Source organism: Homo sapiens, chromosome 17 (genome assembly GCF_000001405.40).
Source record: "Homo sapiens chromosome 17, GRCh38.p14 Primary Assembly".
In the NCBI taxonomy this organism is placed as follows: Eukaryota; Metazoa; Chordata; class Mammalia; order Primates; family Hominidae; genus Homo; species Homo sapiens.
In genome coordinates this window covers 79,706,368-79,719,061 of record NC_000017.11, presented here as the reverse complement: position 1 = coordinate 79,719,061, position 12,694 = coordinate 79,706,368, and the positions used below count along the sequence as shown (strand labels likewise).

The window sequence follows — 12,694 nt, the reverse complement described above, 5'->3', positions numbered from 1 at the left end:
CCTCCTGAGTAGCTGAGACCACAGGTGTGCACCACCACGCCCAGCTAATTTTTAAAATGTATTTGTAGAGACAAGGTCTCCCTGTGTTGCTCAGGCTGGTCTTGTACTCCTAGGTTCGAGGGATCCTCCTGCCTCAGCCTCTCAAAATGTTGGGATTACAGGCTTGCCTGGCGTGTCCCTTGTTTATTTGTTCATGCGTACCACTCCTGGGTATACGCCCAAGAGAATCGGAAGCAGGGTCTCAAAGAGATACTTGCACACAGGTGTTCATAGCAGCTTATTCACAAAAGCAAAAATGTGGCAACAGGCTGGGCGTGGTGGCTCACGCCTGTAATCCCAGCATTTTGGGAGGCTGAGGCGGGTGGACCACCTGAGGCCAGGAGTTCGAGACCAGCCTGACCAATATGGTGAAACCCTGTCTCTACTAAAAATACAAAAATTAGCCAGGCATGATGGCAGGCACATGTAGTCCCAGCTACTTGGGAGGCTGAGGCGGGAGAATCGCTTGAACCCGGGAGGCGGAGGTTGCAGTGAGCCAAGATCACGTCACTGCATTCCAGTCTGGGCGACAAGAGGGAGAATCCGACTTAAAAAAAAAAAAGTGGAAACAACTCAAGTGTTCAATGGCCCCAGCTGCCTATGACATGACAATGAACTCCAAGGTCCTGAGGCTGATTTTGAGGAGCACCAGAATGGGGAGGCGCCTTCACCCCTGGAGAGCGGGGCACAGGCAGGGCCGGACAGAGAGGTGCAGGCTCAGTGCAGCCCCTGCCTCTGGGGTCTCCACACAGCAAGGCCTGAGTTGTAGTCTCTGGGGGCTCAGGCCCTGGTGCAGCTTGGGGGCCACTGGGCAGTAGTGGGGGGTTCTGTGGCTCTGTCCGGTCCTCTTTGTGATTTTGGGTGATGCCCTCTGTGAGCAGCAGGAGTTTAACAAGCCCTGTGCTCTGCTGGGCTCCGGATGGCACACAGAGGCTCCTCCATTCATGCTGGGGTCCCTGTAAACCTGTCGCAAGTGGAACATATCCTGTCAAAAATGCATTTACCGGCCGGGCACTGCGGCTCACGCCTGGGATCCCAGCACCTTGGGAGGCCGAGGCAGGCAGATAGCTTGAGCTCAGGAGTTTGAGACCAGCCTGGCCAACATGGTGAAACCCCGTCTCTACTAAAAATACAAAAATTAGCTGGGCGGGGTGGTGCGTGCCTGTAATCCCAGCTACTCGTGAGGCTGAGGCATGAGAATCGCTTGAACCCAGGAAGCGGAGGTTGCAGTGAGCCGAGATGGTGCCATTGCACTCCAGCCTGGGCGACACAGTGAGACTGTATCACAAAAAAAAAAAAAAAAAAAGTGCATTTAGTGTGCCTAACCGCCCGGCCAGCTCAGCCCAGCCGACCTCAGATGTGTGCTCAGGACACTCCCATTAGCCTCTAGGTGGACAAAATCAGCTCACATGAGGTCTGCTTTTTTTTTTGAGACGGACTCTCACTCTGCCACCCAGGCTGGAGTGCAGTGGTGTGATTAGAGCTCACTGCAGCTTCAAACTCCTGGGCTTAAATGATCCTCCTGCCTCAGCATCCCAAGAAGCTGGGGCTACAGGTATGTGCCACCACGCCTGGCTAATTTTAAAAAAGTTTCGTTTTGTTTTGTAGAAATGGGGTCTCGCCATGTTGCCAAGGCTGGTCTTGAACTCCTGGGCTCAAGCCATCCTCCTGCTTTGGCCTCCTAAAGTTCTGGGATTACAGGCGTGAACCATTGTCCCCGGCTCACGAGCTATTTTTCTAATCAAGTGTTGATTTTCTTGTGCAATTTGTCGAACACTGTACTGAAAGTGAACATGGTGGTGTGGGACTCAAGTGCCGTTGCTGCTGAGTTCTGGCCGCATTCTTACCATCGTGGAGTCAGAGGCCGTCGGTGGAGCCATCCTAAGGCAGGGCCATCTGTGTAGGAATCTGCTGTTTGCAGAGATTTTTGTTGGTGATCACCAGGCTTGGACTCTGAGAACCTTGGAGGAACCCAGAGGGGAGCATGCAATGCGGAGTGGGACGTTCACTGGACCAGGGAGGTCGGGCCGTGGTTAGGAACCTGGGGGAGGAAGAGCTGAGGGGGTTGGGGGTCTGAGCTTTTCTCAGTGGCTCAGCCACGACCCTGGGCTACCCCTGCCCCAGGCCTCCCTTCTGTGCCTATGAGCTGGGGGTGATCATTAGTGTCCCCTCCCCCAGCAGGTAGGGCTATACCAGGCACAAGGGGGAGGCTTGCCGCATTCCCACTGAGGACAGACCACCCGGGAAAGCACTCGGACAGCCTCGGGGAAGATGAGGGTGGGTCCAGGAGATGCCAAGGGCAGGCCCTTGGGCAGGTTTTTCAACAGTGCCTCTGCCCCGCCACCCCTGTGCCCTTGCCTGTCACCACAGGGTCTGGGAGAGGAGAGCCACATGGCTCAGCATGGCCAGGGGCAGGCTAGACTGTCATGCTGCAGAGGACCCACCGGGGCCCAGTGTGACAGCCCTCCCCCTCCCCTTGGGACTCCATGGCCTGTGCTGTCCTCCTGCCCAAGAAGTGTCCCTCTGAGGCATCTCGGGTCCTGGTCCGTCCTGCTCACCCAGGGCCAGCAGCCCCCAGGAGGCCCATGGTAAGAAGGAGGGTGAGATATAAACAATTTCCCCCTCCTCTGCCGAAGGCTCTGGCGTCAGCGTGCTTTGCATGCAGCAGCCTTTTCCCCGGGCAGCGAGGGCCTGAGTGGGCGCCTCCCCCACCGCCTCCTGGGTGTCAGCCCCACACTGCCCCACGGCTCTACCCCTGTTCAGAGCCACTCAGCCCCCGGGAAAGGTGGCTGGGTCACGAGTTGGGGATACGAGGGGGGTCAGTGCCTGCTAGTTGGCGCCAGAAAACCACCTTTGCTGGACTTGGCATTGAGGGATGGCAAGGGGGCCTCGGAGACACTCTCCTCCCTCTGCCCTGTACCCCCAGGGTACCCGCGGTCACTCAGTTCCTGACTGCCTGCTTTGGGCTGGGATCCCAGGACCCACCCTCTCCCGGCTTCTGCTGAGCCATGCCCTCCGGTGGGGGGGTCCCCTGCCTGGTGCCATGGCCTTGCGAGTGTCACTCAGAGCCCCTGCTGCACGGAGCCGCACTGTGGGTTTCCTTTCCTGTGTGGACCTGCAGAGAAGCTGCCTTGTTGCTGTCCCCTCATTGCTGGGGTATAAATCCTCGTTGTCACTATCTTCTTGGCCCTCTGCCACCAGCCATGGACTCTGGGGACACTGGGGACTCAGGCCTGGAATTTTCCCCAAGGTTTTTCCTAGGTGTGTTGGTGTAAACAGGGTCCCCTCTTGCCCCAGAGGCTGAGCTCCCATGGGCAGGGGGAGAGTGGGAGCAGCTGTCTGAGTGCCAGGCTGCGGGGACAGGGTCTGGGATTTCCTGTGGAAACGGTGAAGAGTGCCCGCCCCTGCCCTGGCTCCAGCCAGCGTCTGGTCGCCCTGGTGGGCAGGGAGTGGCAGCTGCAGAATGCACGAAGGAGGTGGGTGGGGTGGGAGTGGCTTGTGCTGACTTTGTCCAAAGGCCAGAGGTGTGGTGGGGCCCCTGGACACCGTGTGGCTAAGGGCTTCTCTGTTCACCAGGGCTGTTATCACAGAGTCTTTCCGGAGAGCCTGCAAGGGTCTGCTATCTCCAGAAACGTCTATTTTATAGGCACCTGGATGTCTACTGTGTCCTGATACGGAGGAGAGGACATGCTATGGGAGATAACGTGGCTACCTTTGGCCACGTCAGGTGGATAAGAGATGGCCAACAGGTCACTGCAGGGCCTGCTCCCCCTTACCTCCCCCATCAGGGGACAGGATCTCATGTGTGTGTGTGTGTGTGTGTGTGTGTGTGTGGCGGGGAGGGGTGTCCCTCTGGTGCAGTCCTTGGGTAGGAAAACACCTTGATGTTGGTCCCAAGGCCATCGGTGTTGGCCTCATCATCACCACCTTCAGTCTCTGGACAGCAACAGGCTCCACTGAGCAGGTGCCCTGTGACACCTGGTGCGTTGGAGGGTGGGGCTGAGCCCCGGTGAGCCAGGACCTGCCAAAAGATCAGGGGGAAGAGCATAGACCCCCCTCTACCAGCCCCGGAGCCCCACGAAGGAACATTCGGGCCGCCCCAGTTTGAGCCATGAGTTGTGTCCACGGCAGCCTCGCTTCCTTTGCTGGGCCTTGGCGGCGATAACGCCTGAATCTGTGCAGGTCTCAGGTGAGCCTTCTCCAGCTCAGCCTCTGTCACCTCATGGGTCGCCTCGGTTCCCGGGCATTGATTCAGCACCTGCTGAAGGGAAACCAGAGAGGCCAGTCCTTGCTCCTGAGGACTCAAGGGTCTGGATGTGGGTGGAAACCTACACCCCACAACGCTCCCAAACGATGAACGCAGCGCAGGGCCTAGGCTCACTCCCGGGATGTGGGGCACAGGGCCCGGAGCCCATCTGGATGAGAGAGCACCGTGCCCTCCATGGGCTGGAGGGACGGGGGGCCTTTGGTGGCCGGTGAAAGCGTTTTGCCAGCTGAGAATATTCTTTTTGCTGGCCGCGTCTAATCTGGTTTCTGGGGAAGATAAGAGGAGGCTACATCAGCAGATGCCTGTCACCGTGGACTAAGAGCTGGCTCAGGGAATCCAATTCCAGCTCAGAACCTGGGGCCCAAGGAGCCACTTGAGGCCATGTCTCTGTCTCTTTTTGGACTCGGGGACTCTGACCATGGTTGTGGACTCTCCCTAGAAAATATGCACACATAGCAATTTGCTGACCTGTCCTGGGAGCTCAAGGGAGGCCCAAGGCAGTGGGGCTGGGGGGCAGGGAGCAGAGAGGCAGGGCCGGGGCCAGGGGAAAGAGGAGAGGAGAGAGCACGGGGGTCCTGTCCCCTTGAGGCTGCCGTGCAGGGGCTGGCTGCATTCTGAGGCTGGAGGAACAGCTCTGCCTTGCAGAGAATTAGCACAGCCTGCCTGTCCGGCCGCTTCACTGTGGGTTGGCTCCCGTGCCATTGAGGATGGCGAAGGGGGAGGAAGGGTGGTGATGAGGGAGGGAGGGTCCTGATGTACCACCTGCTCCCAGATGGCCAAGGTGACCCTCCCCAGCGTCCCCGAGCTTCGCAGGCATGTAGGGGAGCCTCGGAGGGCACATCCGTTTGCTGTTTCTGCTGTTACACGTGACCACAAACTTAGCGGTTTAAAACAATGCAAATGTATTTATTTTTCCTCTTTTTTCCCCATGTAAGACAGGTAACGTGCCACTGTTCTAAAGACGTTTCACGTCCCACGCAAGAGTGTGAAAACCCCCTCATCACACATATCAGCCACAGAAGGATCAAAACAATGCCAATTTATTATTTTAGAGTTCTGGGGGTCAGAAGTCCCATGGGGCCGCGCTGGGCTAAAGCCAGGGTGTCAGCAGGGCTGGCTTCTTCTGGAGGCTGGGGGCAGATCCGTCTCCTGGCCTTTCCCGGCTTCTGAAGGCCACCGCGTTCTGGGCCTCAGTCCCAGGCTGGGGCGTCACCACACCCTCTGCTTTCGAGCCACGTCTGCTCTGACCCCCGCCTCTCTCTCACAGGGGCCCTTGTAATGCCATTGGGTTCACCTGCATGATCCTGGGGAGTCTCCCATCGCAGGACCCTCGGTCACACTGGCAATGTCCCTTTTGCCATGAAAAGTCACCCATTCACAGTCCCGGGATTAGGATGTGGGCCTTTTGGGGGGCACCATTCTGCCCACTGTGGAGGGTGTGTGGGAGCGACCAGACCTCAGGGGGGCTGTCATATTGACCTCATCCCCAGCACAAAGTCCAGGAGGGCTGGCGTGAGGTGTCCAGGATGCTGGAGCTTGGTGGGGGCTGCACAGGGACTCTGCTCAGGCACCCAGCCCCAGCGTGAGGGGCCCATGGCTGTGGGCGCAGCAGCCACAAGGGAGAAGCAATGGCCCCCTCGACTTTCCTTCCCTAAACTCGGATCCCCTGAAACAGAGAGGTGAGGCTCAGGGGTGAAGGGCAAGCAACTTCTGCAATAAGATTTCCATGATGCCTGATCATGTCTGTAAGAGAAAGGTTATGTCTTTCTTCATTTTTGTTTATTTTTTGAGACAGAGTCTTGCTCTGTCACCCAGGCTGGAGTGCAGTGGCTTGATCATAGCTCACTGCAGCCTCAACTTCCCAGCCTCAGGCAATCCTCTCTCCTAGGTCTCCCAAGTAGCTGGGACTACAGGCATGTGTCTTGGGAGGCAAATTTTTTTTTTTTTTTTAAGAGACGAGGGTCTCACCATGTTGCCCAGGCTGGTCTCGATCTCCTGGCCTCAAGCAATCCTCCTGCCTTGATATCCCAAAGTGCTGGGATTACAGGCATGAGCCACCATGCCTAGTCTCTTTTCAAAAAAAAAATTTTTTTTTTTTTTGAGTCACAGTTTCACTCTTGTTGCCCAGGCTGGAGTGCAATGGCACGGTCTTGATTCACTGCAACCTCCGCCTTCCGGGTTCAAGCAATTCTCCTGCTTCAGCCTCCTGAGTAGCCGGGATTATAGGCACCTGCCACCACATCCGGCTTATTTTGCATTTATTTTTATTTTTAGTAGAGATGTGGTTTTACCATGTTGGCCAGGCTGATCTTGAACTCCTGATCTCAGGTGATCTGCTCACCTCGGCCTCCCAAAGTGCTGGGATTACAGGCGTGAGCCACCGTGTCTGGCCTCAAAATTTTTTAATGTAAGTTTTCAAATAAACTCACACACGTGATCAGTGATCACCACACATACTTTATCGATAATCGCCACACTTGTTTCATGCATTGCTGTTGTCTTTCTCTTTGCTTTTCCCCTGTGGCTGAAGCACTTTCCATCCTGTAGCAAAAACGTTCTGAAATTTTCTTCCTATGAACTTCAGGTTGCAAGGCGCCAAGTACGGGAAACTCTGGAACACACTTGCGGTTCCCTTAGGGCAATGTTCAAATTAACAGTCATTCCTTGGCACCCGCTCAGGCCCCATCCAGAATCACATTCCCCTGATTGTTTGCTTACGTCCATCAGATGGAACACACAGGTTCCTAACAAGGCCCAAAGTTTAAGTTTTGTGGTGGCGCCTCTTGAACCTCTCTTACTCTAGATCAGGCGCCGCCCCCGACCCCCATTGCTCCTCCCACCACTTGTGATTTGTTGCAGAAACCAGATCAGCTGTCCTGCAAATGTGTGGCCTATCGCGCTGCTGTTTGCCTCTCTGTGGTGTCGCCTCGCCCCGTGTCTCCTGCAAATGGAAGCTGTGCCGCAGAAACGCCCTTAGATTCAGGCTCATCTTTCTTTGCCAGAAGCCTTCGTGGGCAGAGCTGTGAGAGCCACATGGAAGCACCTGTAATGCTAAGTGTGCCCTGTGGGTCCAGGTGGCCATCGCCCGGACCCACCCTCTGATGCTAAGTGTGCCCCGTGGGTCCAGGTGGCCATCGCCCGGGCCCACCCTGAGATGCTAAGTGTGCCCCGTGGGTCCAGGTGGCCACAGCCTGGGCCCACCCTGTGATGCTAAGTGTGCCCCGTGGGTCCAGGTGGTCATAGCCCGGATCCACCCTGTGATGCCCTAGTTTTGTCATTACTGATCTCATCCATGACCCTTGCGAGAAATACTTATGTCATGAGAGGTGGCAAAATCATGGTTTCTCTCATGATCTCATCTCCTTCACAATGAGTAGCTGAAATTGTTCTGTTAAAAACAACAACGACAAAAAAGGCTGGGCACGGTGGCTCACGCTTGTAATCCCAGAGCTTTTGTGGGCCAAGGTGAGAGAGGCCAGGAGCTTGAATCCAGCCTGGGCAACATGGCAAGACCCCATCTCTACAAAAAAATAAAACATTAGCCAGGTGTGGTGGTGCGCGCCCGTAGTCTCAGCTACTCGGGGGCTGAGGCAGAAGGATCCTTTGAGCCCAAGAGGTTAAGGCTGCAGTGAGCTGTGATTACACCACTGCACTTCAGCCTGGGCGATGGAGCGAGACCCTGTCTCTTAAATAAAACAACCAAACAGGCTGGGTGTGGTGGCTCACACCTGTAATCCCAGCACTTTGAGAGGCCGAGGTGGGTGGATCACCTGAGGTCGGGAGTTTGAGACCAGCCTGGCCAACATGGTGAAACCCCAACTCTACTAAAAATACAAAAAATTAGCAGGGCCTGGTTGCGGGCGCCTGTAATCCCAGCTACTCAGGAGTCTGAGGCAGGAGAATCACTTGAACCCAGGAGACAGAGGCTGCAGTGAGCCGAGGTTGTGCCATTGCACTCCAGCCTGGGCAATAGAGCAAGACTCCATCTCAAAAAAAAGAAACCAAACAAACAAAAACCAAAAATACTTGCTGTTGTCCACTAGAGTTATTGAGTTATCCTGAAATATAGTTTAAAAGGGAAATTCTTAATTCTTTTCTTTTAATTGACAATGTTCTGAATAGAGTTGGAGGCTTGTTTTTCCAGTGGATTACCGATGGGTTTTGGTTTGCTTTCTCTCTTTAAATCTATTTATAGCTTTTGTGTATTCATTGTGTATTCAGCAATCATACACAATGAGTACACAAAAAATCACACAACCAATACACAAAAGGTAAAAGTAGATTTAAAAAGTGAGACACCAAGGCTTGATTTTAGGCTCAATTTGTCCCCTCTTTGGCCAAAGATTTCTAATTTTTTTCCCCTCAAAACTGGTAGGCCAGGGTGCCAGGGTGCCGTCCCATCAGTGGTGGGAGGAAAGGGTAGTTGCCCCAGACAGTGGGTGAATGCCAGGGTGCCAGTGTCAGGGAGGGGAGGGGCTGGTGGGTGAATGCTAGGGTGCCAGTGTCAGGGACGGAGGGGCTGGTGGGTGAATGCCAGGGTGCCAGCATCAGGGAGGGGAGGGGCTGGTGGGTGAATGCCAGGGTGCCAGTGTCAGGGACGGAGGGGCTGGTGGGTGAATGCCAGGGTGCCAGCGTCAGGGAGGGGAGGGGCTGGTGGGTGAATGCCAGGGTGCCAGCATCAGGGAGGGGAGGGGCTGGTGGGTGAATGTCAGGGTGCCAGTGTCAGGGAGGGGAGGGGCTGGTGGGTGAATGCCAGGGTGCCAGCATCAGGGAGGGGAGGGGCTGGTGGGTGAATGCCAGGGTGCCAGCATCAGGGAGGGGAGGGGCTGGTGGGTGAATGCCAGGGTGCCAGCGTCAGGGACGGAGGGGCTGGTGGGTGAATGCCAGGGTGCCAGTGTCAGGGAGGGGAGGGGCTGGTGAGTGAATGCCAGGGTGCCAGCATCAGGGAGGGGAGGGGCTGGTGGGTGAATGCCAGGGTGCCAGCGTCAGGGACGGAGGGGCTTGTGGGTGAATGCCAGGGTGCCAGCATCAGGGAGGGGAGGGGCTGGTGGGTGAATGCCAGGGTGCCAGCATTAGGGAGGGGAGGGGCTGGTGGGTGAATGCCAGGGTGCCAGCGTCAGGGACGGAGGGGCTGGTGGGTGAATGCCAGAATGCCAGTGTCAGGGAGGGAGGGGCTTGTCGAAGAGAAACTTTCTTCAGGGCCATTGATTTCCCTGCCTTGTTTGAAGTGCCTGGATTGGGCTCTCTGAAACCAACAACATCTTATTAGAAGACAAGGACTTCTTCTCTTTTCTTTCTTTCTTTCTTTTTTTTTTTTTTTGAGACGGAGTTTCACTCTTGTTGCCCAGGCTGGAGTGCAATGGTGTGATCTCGGCTCACTGCAACTTCTGCCTCCCAGGTTCAAGTGGTTCTCCTGCCTCAGCCTCCCGAGTACCTGGGATTACAGGCATGCGCCACCATGCCTGGCTAATTTTTGTATTTTTTAGTAGAGATGGGGTTTCTCCATGTTGGTCAGGCTGGTCTCGAACTCCCGACCTCAGGTAATCCTCCCGCCTCGGCCTCCCAAAGTATTAGGATTACAGGCGTGAGCTACTGCTCCCGGCCTTTTCTTTCTTTAGAGACAGGGTCTCTCTCTGTCACCCTGACTGGAGTGCAGTGGCATGATCACGACTCACTGCAGCTTCGACCTCCCGGGTTCAAGCGATCCTCCCATCTCAGTGTCCTGAGTATCTGGGACCACCACGCCTCACTAATTTTTGTGTTTTTTTTTTTTTTTTTGTAGAGATGAGGTCTCGCCATATTGCCCAGGCCTGGCAGGTGTTTCTGATAGTCACAAAGCCCCTGCTACTGGGGAAAGAGAAAGGAAGGCCCAGCTAAGACCCAATTAAGAAAATCCCAGAACCAAGAACGAATTGACTGTTCGGCTTTGGTAATCTCCAACGTGTCCACCAGGTGGTGCTGTCCAGCCACGAATCTCCCAGCTTTGATCTCGGGCTTTGGCCGAGGGCACCTCCAGGGCTGGGGTCTCTCATCGTGTTGTCCCCACTTTATTCCAACGTCCACCCCAGGCCTGGGGGAGCCCAGGGAGGACCGAGTCTCCTGGGCCCCGCAGGGCGCACAGAGGTGAGTTTGGTGGTGCCGTCCCGACCTCGACAAGCATCCCAGCGAAGCAGGCTGAGCGCCCGGCTGGCTCCCTCAGGTCCCCTCTTCCGGGCCTTCTCCGTCCTGTTGATTTGGGTGTTTTAATGCAGGAAAGTAGGACACTGGTTGTCACCTGCCTGCTCCTACAAGGAAAATGCATGTTTGTGTGGTTATCCGTGGCCACCCCCACCAGGGCCTGCGGGGGGCCCAGTGCAGTGGAGGTGGGGAGGGGACTCGTGGGCTCCAGGATCCGTGGAGAGTGAGTGTCAGCGGGAGGGCGTCCCCCGACCTTGGTCAATGGAAGCTGCTCTTCCTGGGGGTCCTGCGGGAGGCCCGTGATGGGGGTGGGGGAGGAGGGGTAAACACCGGGCCCTGATTGGCCGCCTGTCCTTGGGTCTTTGCTGGTCCTAAGAGGGAACGGGGAGCACAGCTGGGGTCACAGCCTCAGCTGGGACTCCTGCCCTCCAGCACCTCAGCATCCTCCCTGCGGGTGCTCTCCTGGGGGCTGCTCAGGGCAGGTGGCAAGTAGGGGGCTGTGGGACCAGAGACAGGGGGTGGACATGCCCAGGGCCTGCCCTTTTGGCCTGCCGTGGAGACCCACCCAGGAGCACCTGGGGGCTGACCCTCCCCTGCAGAGAGCAGGGTGAATCCCAGCCCTGCCCTCACCTAACAGCCGGGTTCGAGGGGAGCGTAATTTATAATGAACCCCACTCCTCCCCCAACACCCGCCACAGGCAGGAGCCAGCCTCTCTCCTGACACCAAAGTCATGCTCCTGACCCTGCAGGCCACAGGGTGAGGAGGACCCAGAGGGGCAGCAGGGTGGGGGCGTTTCATAAGCCAGGGAGAGCTGCCCCTGTACATCCTCAGGCCTCACAGTGGAGTGAGGGGCGGGGGTCGCCTGCGTCCTCCACAGGAGCTCCTGTCATTCCACCTCCGGGGGTGCACTTGCCGACTTACCCCAGCCCTGGACTCACAGGCTGTGCTGCTGTCTGCCCAGGGCCTGGCGATTGCTGCGCCCATGATGGGTCCCACAGGCAGGCCCTGCCCTCCCATCGCTGGCTTCTGAGCAGGGGCTTTGGGGCTGCTGGACCTCAGAGGCAGAGCCGGGGCTTCTGGTGTCCCTATGTCTTGGATGCCTGGTGTCCTGAGGCCAGCGCCCCCCAGCTTGCACTGGGACCGTCCATGGAAGCAACTCCTCTTTCATCTCAGGCACTGGGGGTCCCAGGGCCAGGGAAGGGGCTGCGCAGCACCTCAGGAGCCCAGAAGAGCTGCCCGCCAGGGAGGAGGAGCTGGGGGGAGCAGAGGCCTGGACCAGCTGGGATGTTCCCATCGGCGTGTCCCTCCCGCCCAGGCCACGTGGGCAGGGGAGGAAGAAGGGAGGAGGAGCGGAGGGGCCCTTGTCTTCCCAGAGCCTCTCCCTTCCTCCCCTCCCCCTCCCTCTGCTCATCTCATCATGAGACAGCTGGCAAGGGCCTTCGGCTGCCCTGGAGTGCCCCTGCCCTGGCCAAGCTCTTGCCGCCCCCTTCTTCTGGAGGTGCCAGATGGGGCGGGCCCAAGGCAGTGGAGGTCTGGGCCCTGGCTCCAGCTCTGTCTCCTCCTGAGGGCCCTGGAGGAGCCAGGAGGAGGGCCTAGCAGGGCCGGGCAGATGGTGGGCCGGGAGGAGGGGCTGCCTGGGTAGACGGACCGACTGGCAAGACAGATGGTGGACCAGGCAGGGGTCCGGAGCCCGCCCCATCTGCTCCAGTCCCTGGTGGGACTTTTCTTGTCCACCTCGGGCTGAACTGGGATGGACTGTGTGGGTGGCTGTGGCCCAGGCCGGATTCTGTCACACTGGGTCCTCTGTCCCTGGGGCATGGCCAGCCGGGTGCTCATCTGGGGTCTTGAAGCCTCCTCCTGGCAGCTGGCACGTGGCTGGAGGTCATCATGTTTCGGGGGCTCCTGAGGGTCTGGGGGCCATGACTGAGCAGAGCCTGGGGCGCGTCCCGGGAATGAAGCCACCGCTGCAGATGAGGGGCTTTGTAGGTGGGTGGGTGACTGTAGCCCCTGGAGGGGCTGCCTGGGGCCCAACGCTGATAGGGCCCGGGACAGGAAGATGCTTAGTCACGTGTTTGCGCTGCAGGTGCACCCCCAGCCCAGGCGACATCAACGGCCAGCCCCACACACGTGAGGAGGGATTGTGGGCCCAGGGGCGCTCAGGATGGGGCCGGGCTGCTTCTCAGAAGAGGGGACGCTGAGCCCAAGCAGGC

The 12,694-nt window shown here is 57.6% G+C and overlaps 1 long non-coding RNA gene, 1 other non-coding gene and 1 pseudogene across 2 annotated transcripts, besides 4 other annotated features; 1 reads left to right on the top strand and 2 right to left on the bottom strand.

Moving 5' to 3' along the window:
• Nucleotides 1,685–2,184: an enhancer, noted in NCBI's record as "H3K4me1 hESC enhancer chr17:77690645-77691144 (GRCh37/hg19 assembly coordinates)". NCBI's record gives its function as "activates a minimal SCP1, AML or CMV promoter by ChIP-STARR-seq in naive H9 embryonic stem cells {active_cell/tissue: H9 hESC(naive)}" and the evidence as "EXISTENCE:reporter gene assay evidence [ECO:0000049][PMID:30033119]".
• On the bottom strand, nt 5,236–5,331 carry LOC124904133 (uncharacterized; annotated as a pseudogene).
• Nucleotides 5,332–6,744: 1,413 nt separating this feature from the next.
• On the bottom strand, nt 6,745–11,796 carry LINC02078 (long intergenic non-protein coding RNA 2078). Its single transcript, NR_109783.1, has 2 exons — nt 11,406–11,796; nt 6,745–10,590 (listed from the first exon to the last, which is right to left on the bottom strand). It is a non-coding gene; the product is annotated as a long intergenic non-protein coding RNA 2078 (long non-coding RNA).
• Nucleotides 7,374–7,923: an enhancer, noted in NCBI's record as "H3K4me1 hESC enhancer chr17:77684903-77685452 (GRCh37/hg19 assembly coordinates)". NCBI's record gives its function as "activates a minimal SCP1, AML or CMV promoter by ChIP-STARR-seq in naive H9 embryonic stem cells {active_cell/tissue: H9 hESC(naive)}" and the evidence as "EXISTENCE:reporter gene assay evidence [ECO:0000049][PMID:30033119]".
• Nucleotides 10,711–11,332: an enhancer, noted in NCBI's record as "H3K27ac-H3K4me1 hESC enhancer chr17:77681539-77682160 (GRCh37/hg19 assembly coordinates)". NCBI's record gives its function as "activates a minimal SCP1, AML or CMV promoter by ChIP-STARR-seq in naive H9 embryonic stem cells {active_cell/tissue: H9 hESC(naive)}" and the evidence as "EXISTENCE:reporter gene assay evidence [ECO:0000049][PMID:30033119]".
• Nucleotides 11,333–11,954: an enhancer, noted in NCBI's record as "H3K27ac-H3K4me1 hESC enhancer chr17:77680917-77681538 (GRCh37/hg19 assembly coordinates)". NCBI's record gives its function as "activates a minimal SCP1, AML or CMV promoter by ChIP-STARR-seq in naive H9 embryonic stem cells {active_cell/tissue: H9 hESC(naive)}" and the evidence as "EXISTENCE:reporter gene assay evidence [ECO:0000049][PMID:30033119]".
• Nucleotides 11,813–11,886, top strand: MIR4739 (microRNA 4739). Its single transcript, NR_039893.1, has one exon. It is a non-coding gene; the product is annotated as a microRNA 4739 (primary transcript).